The sequence below is a fragment of the Homo sapiens genome, chromosome 17 (assembly GCF_000001405.40).
Source record: "Homo sapiens chromosome 17, GRCh38.p14 Primary Assembly".
Taxonomy (NCBI): Eukaryota; Metazoa; Chordata; class Mammalia; order Primates; family Hominidae; genus Homo; species Homo sapiens.
The window spans coordinates 47,782,802-47,795,922 of NC_000017.11; the positions used below are offsets into that span (position 1 = coordinate 47,782,802).

A 13,121-nucleotide genomic window follows, 5' to 3' on the forward strand; every position below is an offset into this window, starting at 1 on the left:
GGGTTACTGTGACACACACAACTCAATGAATCACCAGGACATTACAATGAGTGGAAAAAAGCCAATCCTCAAGGTCACCAAAGCTAGAGCTCTGAGAAAAGGTCCCTAAAATACCTCACATAAGATGGTGTCAGGATGGGGGTGGTTTTGAAGGGAGAGCCTGGGGGATTCCTTTATCTGACCCGACAAGAGACTTTTTTCTCTCTCTGCCTTATCTGGGGAGAGGCTGATTTCTCCAGGATGAAGACTCATGGGGCTGGTCTATACCGTACTGCCATATAAGTGTACATGAAAAGATTCTTTCTTTTTTTTTGAAATGGAGTCTCACTTTGTCGCCCAGGCTGGAGTACAGTGGTGCGATCTCATCTCACTGCAACCTCCACCTCCCGGGTTCAAGCAATTCTTCTGCCTCAGCACCCCTAGTAGCTGGGACCACAGGTGCGCACTTCCACACCCGGTTAATTTTTGTACTTTTAGTAGAGACAGGGTTTCGCCATGCTGGCGAGACTCCACCTTGGCCTCCCAAAGTGCTGAGATTACAGGCTTGAGCCATCATGCCTGGCTTTTTTTTTCTTTTTCTTTCTTTCTTTTTTTTCTTTTTTTGAGAGTCTTACAATGATACCCAGGCCAGTCTTAAACTCCAGGCCAGTCAAGTGATCCTCCTGCCCAGCCTCCCGAGTACTTGGGATTACAGCCATGTACTATGGTACCTGGCTTTGAAACCTTTATTCTTCCTCAACCCCTCTCTCCCACCGCCTCTCCAGCAAACCAACAGACCATCATCCCTGCTACCGTTTTAAGCCTCTTTATCAATCCCCTGTCTCTGGAAGGATGGTCTTTCTCCTGCCCCAGCTTTCCAGGGGCAGATCATTTTCAGCTCATACCATTCCCCAGTCTCAGGTCTGCAAATACAGAACAGACACTGAAGACAAGATTTTCTGATACCTGCCTTCTGTGAACATCACTTCATTCCCTGTGGCTTTTCCCAGCCCCTCCTTCAATGGAAAAACCATCATGTTGTCTTGTAAGAAAATGTCATGGAATGGTAAGCTGACCTGAACTTGGCCATGAGTACCCTTCCTGACCCATGAGGTAGGGTCCTTACAGGCCACACCCTTGCCATCCCCAAGTGTGCAGACCCCATAAAAACAGGTGAATTTCTTCCATGTCCTCTTCACATCCCATTCAGTATGCCCCAAATCACATCTCTCCTTGTCTCAAGTAGCAACTCCCATCCTACTGCACTTGGCTCCCATTTTCCCAACACATCCTTCTTCCATCTCATACAAACACCCCTTTCCACAGAGGCAGGTAGAACCTCCATTCTAAGATGTAAAAAATTTTTCCTTCCCCAGCTTGTACACACAATGGCCTTCTGCTGTCCCTGTAACTTATCTGACATGTACTTCTCTTTGAACACACTTCTTTCCTCACGGTCCTCTCTGGATGAGGTTCGCATCTTCCCCAGCCCCTCATACCACAGGGACAGTGGGGGAGGTTTGGGATTATTCTGGCTCTTATTTTCACTTCTAACAACTCCTCAGGAAACTGTGGCCCAGTGTCAGTCCCTATTCTTTCTTTTTTTCTTTCTTTTCTTTTTCTTTTTCTTTTTTTTTTAGAAATGGGATCTTGGCCGGGCGCAGCGGCTCACGCCTGTTATCCCAGCACTTTGGGAGGCCAAGACGGATAGATCACTTGAGGTCAGGAGTTTGAGACCACCCTGGCCAACATGGTGAAACCCCATCTCTGTCAAAAATATTTAAAAAAATAGCGGGGTGTGGTGGCGCATGCCTGTAATCCCAGCTACTTGGGAGGCTGAGACAGGAGAATCGCTTGAACCCAGGAGGCGGAAATTGCAGTGAGCCAAGATCATGCCACTGCATTCCAGTCTGGGCAATAGAGCGAGAGTCTATCTCAAAAAAAAAAAAAAAAAAAAGAGAGAGACACAGAGTCTTGCTAAAATGCCAAGGCTGGCCTCTAACTCCTGGGCTCAAGCAATTGGCCCTCTTCAGCCTCCTGGAGTAGCTGGGACTACAGATGTGTGCCACCATGCCCAGTGTCTATATTAATGAGATGTAAGGTCAGAGAAAGATCTGCGCATAGACAAGAGATATCTTTCCTTCTCTGTAGGTCCATCTTACACCACCAATTTGCATCTGTCACTGAAAACAGATGAGCTATGGCATTAGAAAGGGGTTCCAGAGTGCTCGTAAATCTTCAAAAGCCCATTTCATCAGCATCAGCCTTACCAGCAAGTAGCTGATAGTGAAGATAAACCAGAATTTCCTCTTTCTAATTCCTATATATTCTGACATTTTCTTGGTAAAGGTGTGTGTGAGTGTGTGTGTGTGTGTGTGTGTGTGTGTGTCTTGTATAAAGCAGGGAGGTTGATTTTGCCACACACCACAGTCTGATGTGAATTCGACCCATGAGGAGCTCCTCTCTGGTTGTGTATGATTTGTGGGTGTCACCCTCCATCATTTCAGTACTGAGACATATTTTGTTTTTATTTTTAGTTTTGATCACTTTAGGAATACAAGGGTTTAGACATCCCTGTATTATGCTAGCAGCTTTCCTAGAATTCCTACCTTTCGGCCAGTGGATCACTAATCAGAGCAGACTACAGATGTCCCTTAAACTGTGCTAGGTTTATAAAGACCCTTATAAGGCATAGCTCACACCCCATCAGGAAAGTCATGACTGGTAGAGGAACCATGTGACCTAATTGTCTGGAAGAGGGTAGAAGAAATGAGACAGAGGCTTCTCTCATCTTTGCTGTTGCAGAAGACCAGGCCCAGCACAGAGAAGTGGAGCATCAACACCCTGTCCCAGATGTCCAACACCGTTCTCTTCCCATATCCCATGGAGGTTCCATGGGACTGAGAATCTGTTTTGGAGAATAAACGCTGAGTCAAGACCTCTTTGAAGACAGTCAGCTCCAGGAGAGGCAATATAGTCCTGGCCATAATTGAAACTTTTACTGAAACTTTCTCTAGGAAGTCCCAGGTTCAAAGGCAAAGATTTTGGATGAGGTCCTAGCAAGTACAACAGTGAGGAATCCAAAGCACTGTAGACCCCAGGTCAGCGCTTTCCGCTGTCCATGGTGCTGGAGGCTGCAAGAGTTTTGGAGCAGAGGAGACTGATAGGGAGCTAATTATGACATATGGCCTAGTGGTCAATAATTTGAGAAGGTTCCCCATTAGGATCATGTGAAATCACTCCATGAGGAGGCCTCCCATCTTGACCTCAGCTAGACTGCTGCACTAACCTTTCGAATCTCCCACTGGGATGTAGGGTCCTGGGAATCATATTTTAGAGTAAGCTTGAAAAAACAAAAAACAAACAAACAAACAAAAAAGTGAGATTGATAGGCAGTGACCTAATTGTACATTGGGGAAAAAGTGAAAGTTACAACAAACTTCACAGAACAGGAATTATATACATTTTACTTTCTGACCATAATGCAATTATGTTAAAATTTAATATTTGAAAATGAAAACAGATCTAAATAATTCACAGGGCCATGCATGGTGGCTCACGCCTGTAATCCCAACACTTTGGGAGGCCAAGGTGGGAGGATGGCTTGAGGCCAGGAGTTCAAGAACAGCCTGGGCAACAAAGTGGGACCCTGTCTCTACAAAAAAATTTAAAAATTGGCTGGGTGTGGTGGCATAATGCTGTAGTCCCAGCTACTGGGGAGGCTGAGGTGGGAGGATCCCTTGAGCCTAGGAGTTTGAGATTGCAGTGAACTGTGATCATGTCATTGCACTCCAGTCTAGGTGACAGAGCGAGACACTAAATAATAATAATAATAATTCATAGGTCAAAGAAGAAAGCACAGTGAAAATTTTAAAGTACTTAGAACTTAATTAAATGATAAAATGGTATAAAAGTTATTCATCCTTTTAACAGATTAACAGAAAAAAAACATATGATCAACTCAATAGATGCAGAAAGAAATTAAGTTCAATGTTAATTTGTGATTTAAAAAACGAGCCTTAGAAGATTAAGAATAAAAGAGAACTTTCTTAACTTGAGAAAATATGTCTACAAAAATCCTATAATAAATGCCATCCTACATGGGGAAATGTAAGCATTCCCTTTAGAATCCAAGGTTGATGAAGTTGTGGAAGGAGCTAGTGAAGCTAATTTGACATTTTGGCAGGAACCAGAAACCTAATCTCTATTTTAAAGTATATAATCCTGAATTTATCAATTTTGGAATGGAACAGTATGTTAAAACACCCTCAGAAATTTGTGCTATCTTTATGAAATATGTTACAGAAAAATGAAGGTATTAGCAAAGGTATCTTGCTTTGTTTTTGTTAAAATGTTTCTTTTTTGTTTTTTGTTTTTGTTTTTGTTTTAAGATGGAGTTTCACTCTTGTTGCCCAGGCTGAAGTGCAATGGTGGGATTTCAGCTAACCGCAACCTTACCTCCCAAGTTCAGGCGATTCTCCTGCCTCAGCCTCCCGAGTAGCTGGGATTACAGGTGCTCATCACCATGCCCAGCTAATTTTTTGTATTTTTAGTAGAGATGGGGTTTCATCATGTTGGCCAGGCTGGTCTCGAACTCCTGACCTCAGGTGATCCACCCACCTTGGCTTCCCAAAGTGGTGGGATTACAGGTGTGCGCTATTACTCCTGGCTAATTTTTGTATTTTTAGTAGAGACTGGGTTTCGCCATGTTCGTCAGGCTGGTCTCAAACTTCTGGCCTCATGTGATCTGCCTGCCCCGGCTTCCCAAAGTGCTGGGATTACAGGTGTGAGCCACCGCACCCAGCCCCAAAATTAAGTGTATTTCTATAGACCAGCAATGAATTATCAGAAATTGAAAATTGTGGCTGGTCACAGTGGCTCACACCTGTAATCCTAGCACTTTGGTAGGCCGAGGCAGCCCGATTGCTTGAGTCCAGGGGTTTGAGACCAGCCTGGACAACATGGCGAAACCCTGTCTACAAAAAATACAAAAAACTAGCTGGGCATGGCACACACCTGTGGGAGGCTGAGGTGTGAGGATAACCTGAGTGAGGGAAGTCAAGGCTGCCATAAGGCTGCAGCGAGCCAAGAGCATACCACTGTACTTCAGCCTAAATGACAAGAGTGAGACCCTATGAAAGAAAGAAAGAAGAAAGAAAGGGATAGAGAGAGGGAGGGAGGGAGGAAGGAAGGAAGGAAGGAAGGAAGAAGGAAGGAAGGAAGGAAGGAAGGAAGGAAGGAAGGAAGGAAAGAAGGAAGGAAGGAAAGAAGGAAGGAAGGAAAGAAGGAAGGAAGGAAGTTGAAAAATTTTAAAACACCATCTTTGTGCAGTGGCTCATGCCTGTAATCCCAGCACTTTGGGAGGCCAAGGCAGGCAGATCACCTGAAGCCCGGAGTTCAAGACCAGCCTGGCCAACATGGTGAAACCCCATCTCTACTAAAAATACAAAAATTAGCCAGATGTGGTGGCAGGTGCCTGTAGTCCCAGCTACTCTGGAGGCTGAGGCAGGAGAATTGCTTGAACCTGGGAGATGGAGGTTGCGGTAAGCCAAGGTCGCGCCACTGCACTCCAGCCTGGGCAAAAGAGCAAGAGTCTGTCTCAAAATAAATAAATAAATACATAAATAATAAAACAAAAACACCATCCCATCTTCAATGGCATTAAAATATGAAATACTTGGGGAAATGGAACAAAAGATGTGCTTGATCTACACACCACTGAAACCTATAAAACTTCCTGAAAAAAATTAAAGACCTAAATAAACACAGAAATATGCCATGCATATGGATCAGAAGACTCAATATTGTTACCACACTAATTCTCTTCAAATTGAACTATAAATTCAACGTGATCCTAGCCAAAATCCCAGCAGGCATTTTTTTTGGTAGAAAAAATCACATGCCAATTCTAAAATTTATATAGAAATTCAAAGTACTCGAAACTAGCCAAAACAATTTTGAAAAAGAAACATGAAGTTGGAGGAATTACACTACTTGATTAGACATTATACATAAAATTGCAACAATCAAGACTGTGTGATAGTGTCATAATATAAACAAATAAATCAGTGGAACAGATTGGAGAATCCAGACATAGATCAACTCCCCACAGGCATAAAGGCAATTCTGAGGGGGGAAAGGATAGTTTTTTAATCAAAAATGCTAAAAAGTGTGGGTATCTGCGTGCAACAAACGAAAGAAAAGAAAAACCACATTCAAAAATTTCCTCAAATGGATCGTAGACATACATGTAAAACTACAAACCTGGAAGAAAATCTTTGTGGTCTTAGGCTAGCCAAAGATTTATTAGACACAACACCAAAATCTTGATTTGTAAAATTTAAAAATGAATAAATTGGGCTTCATCAAAATGGACAGAAGACTTGAACAATACTTCGCCAAAAAAGACATACTATTCAGATGGCAGTTAGCACATGAAAAGATGCTCAACAATATTTGTCTATTCTATCTTATTAAATCTCATTTTACTCATTATCTTCTGTATCCTAACTCCTTCTATAAACGGAGATGCTACTTACTGTCTTTGTACTACGACGGGTGAGTTTTCTTTTCTTTTTTTTTTTTTTTTTTTTTTTTGAGACGGAGTCTCGCTCTGTCGCCCAGGCTGGAGTGCAGTGGCGGGATCTCGGCTCACTGCAAGCTCCGCCTCCTGGGTTCACGCCATTCTCCTGCCTCAGCCTCCCGAGTAGCTGGGACTACAGGCACCCGCTACCATGCCCGGCTAATTTTTTTGTATTTTTAGTAGAGACGGGGTTTCACCATGTTAGCCAGGATGGTCTGGATCTCCTGACCTCGTGATCCGTCCGCCTTGGCCTCCCAAAGTGCTGGGATTTCAGGCGTGAGCCACCGCGCCCGGCCTTACTTGTACTTTCAACCACGTCCCCCACTCCAAAATTCTGCGCCTCCCTCAAGCCAGTTCCTCCTCTGCTTCCTCCTCGCAGCAGCCGGCGCGTCTTTGTTCCGTCCAGGCATCTTCAACGCGTCCCTCCCTCTGGACGCTGCCGAGGAAATACTGAAGTGGTAGAGGATGTGGGGAGGCCGTCCAAGAGTGGAGGTGTCCCGGGCCTGCTCTCTCCAGGAGGAGGAGTGCAGGCTGGGGTCCACCTCCCCGGTCCAGCAGTGCTGGGGAGGGGACCCCGCACGTGTGCCCGGAGCGCGGACACGGTGATGCGGCTGCCCCTCGCCCCGGCCCCAGGCTCGCTGCGCCCTCCCTCCCCGGTCGCCTCTGCGTTTCTCCCGCCAGCAGGAGACCGAGTCTGAGCGCAGCCGCCGACCCTGCGCCTTCCCTGTGCACTCAAAGACCGCCAGCTCTGGGGGAGCCCGGGGACCCACGCCGCTCTGGGCACAGGCGACCGAGGCCAAGGCGCTCCGGGTCTCTCCAGTTCCGGCGTCTTCTGGTCCTCGGGCTCCGCTCCGCGGCCACTGGGCCCGCTGCACGCGAGCGCGCCGAGCTCTGCTCCCGCTGCTCCTGCGAAGCTGGTGTCCACACCCGCCGGCCTGCAGGCACCTCGGGGCCCACGTGTCCTCCGGCCACATCCCACCCTGGGGCCACCTGTGTCCATCCCAGAGCGTGCGCGCAAGGTGAGGCCTGGGGGCAGGTGCCTATTTTTGCCCCCCTCAACCTGCATCTTTGCTATCCTGGGACTTACTGCTCTTCAGAACTTTCGGGCCCCTGGTAGAAGGAGATGTCTCTCCTGTGTCTGAGATGGGTGGGGCAGGAACTCCCCACAGCCCCGGGCTTCTTAAGTGGAGAAGGGGTGGGAAAGTCAGGAGTTGGACTTTCTGGATTGGTCCTGTAATTTTCTTGTCTTTTCTCTCCCATTTCCATTCCATTTGTTTCATTTGCTTTCTAAGAGATTTAATTTTATCTTCCAACTCCTACTGAAATTTTAATTTCTGCTATCCTGTTTTCAATTTCCAAGAGAATATTTTTATTCTCTGAAGATTCTTTTTTAAAAATAACATTCTATCTTGTTTCTTGAATGCCATATTTGACCTAATCTCTTTGATCTAATCTCAGCGTTAGTGAGATTTTCTTTTCCCTGGATGTCTCTGTTTCCTCCAAGTTGCTCTTTTCACTGTGTTTATTTTGGGTCCCATTTTTCACATTATAAGGTTTCTTTAGATGTTTCAGGTTTTCAGTCAATTTTAACTTCTCTGAAGAAATCTCTTCTGAAGTCTTCTAGCCTGCTCCCATTTGAAATGTCACAAGCCACACTTGGTGATCTGCTGTCATTCTGGGAATGCCTTGTCTGCCCCTGTTTGAGAACAAGGCACTAAACACTTACAAGGCTGGCTGAGTTCATGGCTGGGCTTACCCACAATGGAGTCACTGTAGTGATCTGACTGGAACTTTTAGGGGGAACCCTTCAGAGTTTTTTCCTCATGAGCTGGTCTGATTCTGTAAGAAGGACTCTTAAACCCCTCCCCTATGGGGTTTAATAATGTGGGCAGGGTCTGGGTGCTGAGTGGAAGAAGAGGTTTGGGAAGGGTGGTCTCGAATTTTAACTTGTAAAGATTCCCTGTCCCCCTGTTTCCTGAATGGTAGCCCCAACCCTCGGCTGCATCTGGCATCTCGCAGCCTAGAGACTGTTTATTTTAACCTCTCCACAATAAACCTTCATCTTTTGGGAATTGGAAGGGGAAGTTGCCCAGCTGTGTTGAGTGTGGAAGAGAATCTGAGAATGTACCTGTTTCTTAAATAGGCTTTTAAACAATCTTTTTTTTTTTCTTTTAACCCTACCTTCTTCTCCACTTCCAGAAGTACCTGGTACCTCATATACCAGGGTCTTTAGGGAGTTATGTGCAAAGCAGAGTTCTGACTGTGCCTTCTCCACTGCTCGTGTCAGAGTCAGTTATTTTAGGTTTGTTATCACCCACTGTTTGTTTCCAGCTTCCACAACAGCCTCCTATTTCAATCACTGTGTTTGCCGTTGTCTTTTTTTTTTTTTTTTTTTTTTTTTGACAGAGTCTCTCTCTGTCACCCAGGCTGGAGTGCAGTGGTGTGATCTCGGCTCACTGCAACCTCCGCCTCCTGGGTTCAAGCAGTTCTCCTGTCTCAGCCTCCCAAGTAGCTGGGACTACAGGTGACACCACCACGCCCGGCTAATTTTTGTATTTTTAGTAGAGATGGGGTTTCACCATGTTTGCCAGGCTGGTCTTGAACTCCTGACCTCAAGTGATCCACCTGCCTCAGCCTCCCAAAGTGCTGGGATTACAGGTGTGAGCCACCGCACCTGGCCTCCTTTTCCTTTTAAGGTCTACAAAGATCTTGTTAAAAGGACACTTTGAATGTGATAACCAGACAGAACCTTGGCTCTACCCAAAGAAATGAAGAGTGGTAAAAATGGCTGATATTCAAGATAAAATTTATATCTTTTACATTTTGTATTTATCTAAAGGATAATTTACTATAAAAATTAACTCCAAATGGATCATAGACTTAAATGTAAAACTATAGAACTTCTAGAAAAAAACGTATAACATATTTTTTACTTTCAGTTAGGCAAAAAATTTTTGAATACCACACCAAAGGCATGAGCCCTAAGAGAAACTATTGATAAAATTGGACTTCATCAAAATTAAAAATTTCTGCCCTTCAAATGACATTAAGAGAATAAAAAGACAAACCACAAGCTGGGAGGAAGTATTTGCAAAACATGTATCTGATAAAGAACTTGGACCCAGAATATATAAAGAATGCTTAAAACTCAGTAATAAGTAACAAACAATCCAATAATAAATGGACAAAAGATTTGAACAGGTGGTTCAGCAAAGATACATTAATGATAAGCACATGAAAAGATGCGAAGATCATTACTCTTTAGAGAAATGCATATGAAAACCACAATGAGATACTACTATACATCTATTAGAATGAGTAAAAACAAACACACAAACACTCTAAAGCCCTGACAATAACAAGTAATGATGAAGATGGGGAGCAATTGGAGCTCTCATATGTTCTTAGTGGGAATGCAAAATGGTACAGCCACTTTAGGAAACTGTTTGGCAGTCTCTAATAAAATTAAACATACACTTAACAACTTTTATAGAGTCAAATATACACCTAACATAAGACCCAGCAATTTCACTCCTTGATATTTATCCAAGTAAAAGAAAACAGGTTCACTCAAGAATTGGTACATGGGACCTGGCTTGGTGGCTCACACCTGTAATCCCAGCACTTTAGGAGGCTGAGGCAGGCGGATCACTTGAGCTCAGGAGCTCGAGACCAGCCTGGGCAACGTGGCAAAACCCCGACTCTACAAAAAATACAAAAATTAACTAGTCATGGTGGCTCACGCCTGTGGTCCCAGCTACTTGGGAGGCTGAGGTGGGAGGATTGCTTGGGCCTGCGAGGTAGAGATTGCAGTAAGCTGAGATTTGCACCACTGCACTCCAGCTTGGGTGACAGAGGGAGAAAAAAAAATTGGGACATGGATGTCTATAGTGGCTTTTTTCATAATTGCCAAGAACTGGAAATAATCCAAATGTCCCTCAACTGGTGAAGGGATACACAAACTATGATACAACCATACAATGGAAAACTATTCCACAATAAAAAGAAATGAACCATTGATACACACGATGATATAGATCTCAAATGCAGTATGATAACTGACCAAAGCCAGACTCAAAAGGCTATATATTGTGTTATTCAATTTATGTAACATTCTGGAATAGTGAAAACTTTAGAGACATAAAACAGATCAGTGGGTGTCAGCAACTGGAGGTGGGGAAGGGAGCTGACAACAAAAGGGCACAAGAGAATTTGGGGGTGATTGTGGATTATAACTGTGTGCATTTGTCAAAAATAATAGAATTGTCCTCTAAAAAGGAAGAATTTTGCTGTAAGATCACTGTACTCTAAATAATGCTAAAGTTAATCCATTTGATCTTATTTAGTTGTGTTTGGCCAGGAGACAAAAGTACATGCATGTGTTCCATCTGTAGTTTTTATATGAACACCGTTCTCTATGCATATTTAATGTAGCTTTAGAATTTCCATTGTGTTATTTATTCGCTTATTCCCATATGGGATATTAAGGTTTTTGCTATTAAAACCAATGCTAGGCCAGGTGTGGTGACTCATGCCTGTAATCCCACCACTTTGGGAGGCCGAGGCAGGCAGATCACCTGAGGTCAAGGGTTCAAGACCAGCCTGGCCAAGATAGTGAAACCCCATCTCTACTAAAAATACAAAAATTAGCCGGGTGTGGTGGTGGGTGCCTGTAGTCCCAGCTACTTGGGAGGCTGAGGCAGGGAGAACCGCTTGAACCTGGGAGGAGGAGGTTGCAGTGAGCCGAGATTGCACCATTGCACTCCAGCCTGGCGACAGAGCAAGACTCCATCTCAAAACAACAGCAACAACAACAACAAACAATGCTACAATAAATACCTCCTTCTCATTTGTGCATTTATTATATGAAATACAGTTCTAAAATTGGGATTCTGTGTCGAAGGGCCCCCATTCTCTCCATGAGCGGATGAAAGCAGTGAGTGTGGCTTTAATCCCAAGGGACCGGCAGGGGTGAGTGGAGCTGCCCCGCTGCAGCAGAGCCCTCCATGCTTACCCACCCCTCCATCCGGGAGGAAATCGAGTCTATTTCCTATTACCTGCCAACCTTACCTCAGGCTCAAAAGTTTTACTAATGGCTGACAGTCAGTACTTTGCTGCAATTAAACTGATGTTCATAAAGTTTTAATCATGCCTGAAAGAGCTTATGTGGTTTATAAAAATTTGCATCAGTATGACCACAGCAAGGAAAAAATTGAATGCACTAAATGGGAGGAACCCATCAAAAGACAGCATTTATCATTGTCTTTGGTGGCAGGAATATGAGTGATTATTTTCTCCTCTCCGCATTTCTGCATTTTTCTATATATTAAGAGGGTTGGGGCCAGGTGCAGTGGTTCATGCCTGTAATCCCAGCACTTTGAGAGGTTCAGGCAGGTGGATCGCTTGAGCCTGGGAGTTTGAGACCAGCCTGGGCAACATGGCAAAACCTTGTCTCTACAAAAAATACAAAAATTAGCCGAGTGTGGTGGTGCATGCCTATAGTCCCAGCTACTTGGGAGGCTGAAGTGGGAGGATCTCTTGAGCCCAGGAGGTTGAGGCTGCAGTGAGCAGAGATTGTGCCACTGCACTCCAGCCTGGGCAACAGAAAGGTTGATGGGTAGCTTTATAATGGAGGCTTCAAGATGTTACCAACTGAAGCCACAGGTCACTCTTGGTATCACTAAGAATGGGACAACCTGACATTCAGTGCCTTCTGGTGGCATGATGTGAAGTACTTAGTACTATCTCTGAAAGAAATGTTCTTATCCAAAAGAAAAGTTAAACTTGAATCGAATCAAGCCTTTAGATCTAACTTCCAGTTCTCAGGAAATACAGAGGGTAAAGGAAAAGTTGAATGCCATCACAAAGGCATAAACAGGCTAATCTAGACTATGGGACATTCCACAGGACAACCGGCCTGGTTTCTTCAACAAGACAATAGTTTGAAGGAGGATGAGGAGAGGATAGATAGTCTGGGTTAAAAGATATTTAAGAGACGTCATCAAATACAATCTGCAGACCTTAACCAGATCTAGATTCAAACCAACTGACTATAAAAAGATATGCTTGGAACACTTGGGAAAATTTGAAAATGGTTTAGATGTTAGAGAAAGCCAAAGAATGTTATTTTCTTAAGGCATGATACTGGCACTGTGGTTCTGAAGAAAATGTCCACATATTAGAGATGAATAGTGAAATATGTAGGGTTGAAAAGATGTGAGGTCTGGAGTTTAAAACAACAAAACAGAATGAACAGATTAGGCAAGTGGGGCAAATGTTTGACGATTGCTCATTCTAGGAGATGGAAATATGAGGATTTATTATATGTTCCCTCTATAATGTTATTTTATAATGTTTTCATAAAAATTTAAAAGAAATACAGTAGGTGGTTATGTTATAAAGATTACAGATAGCAAATGGGTGTCTTGGGATAAAATTTCCAGGGATACCACCATACATGATGTAAAAATTGCTTATTCTCAAATAGCTGAGATAGAAGAGCTTAAACAGCCCTAGCAGTGAAAATAAAAGGGATATGAAAGGAAAAATTTGGATCAAA

The 13,121-nt window shown here is 43.9% G+C and overlaps 2 annotated features.

The window, feature by feature from the left end:
- Positions 6,409-7,211: an enhancer, noted in NCBI's record as "H3K4me1 hESC enhancer chr17:45866576-45867378 (GRCh37/hg19 assembly coordinates)". NCBI's record gives its function as "activates a minimal SCP1, AML or CMV promoter by ChIP-STARR-seq in naive H9 embryonic stem cells {active_cell/tissue: H9 hESC(naive)}" and the evidence as "EXISTENCE:reporter gene assay evidence [ECO:0000049][PMID:30033119]".
- Positions 7,212-8,012: an enhancer, noted in NCBI's record as "H3K4me1 hESC enhancer chr17:45867379-45868179 (GRCh37/hg19 assembly coordinates)". NCBI's record gives its function as "activates a minimal SCP1, AML or CMV promoter by ChIP-STARR-seq in naive H9 embryonic stem cells {active_cell/tissue: H9 hESC(naive)}" and the evidence as "EXISTENCE:reporter gene assay evidence [ECO:0000049][PMID:30033119]".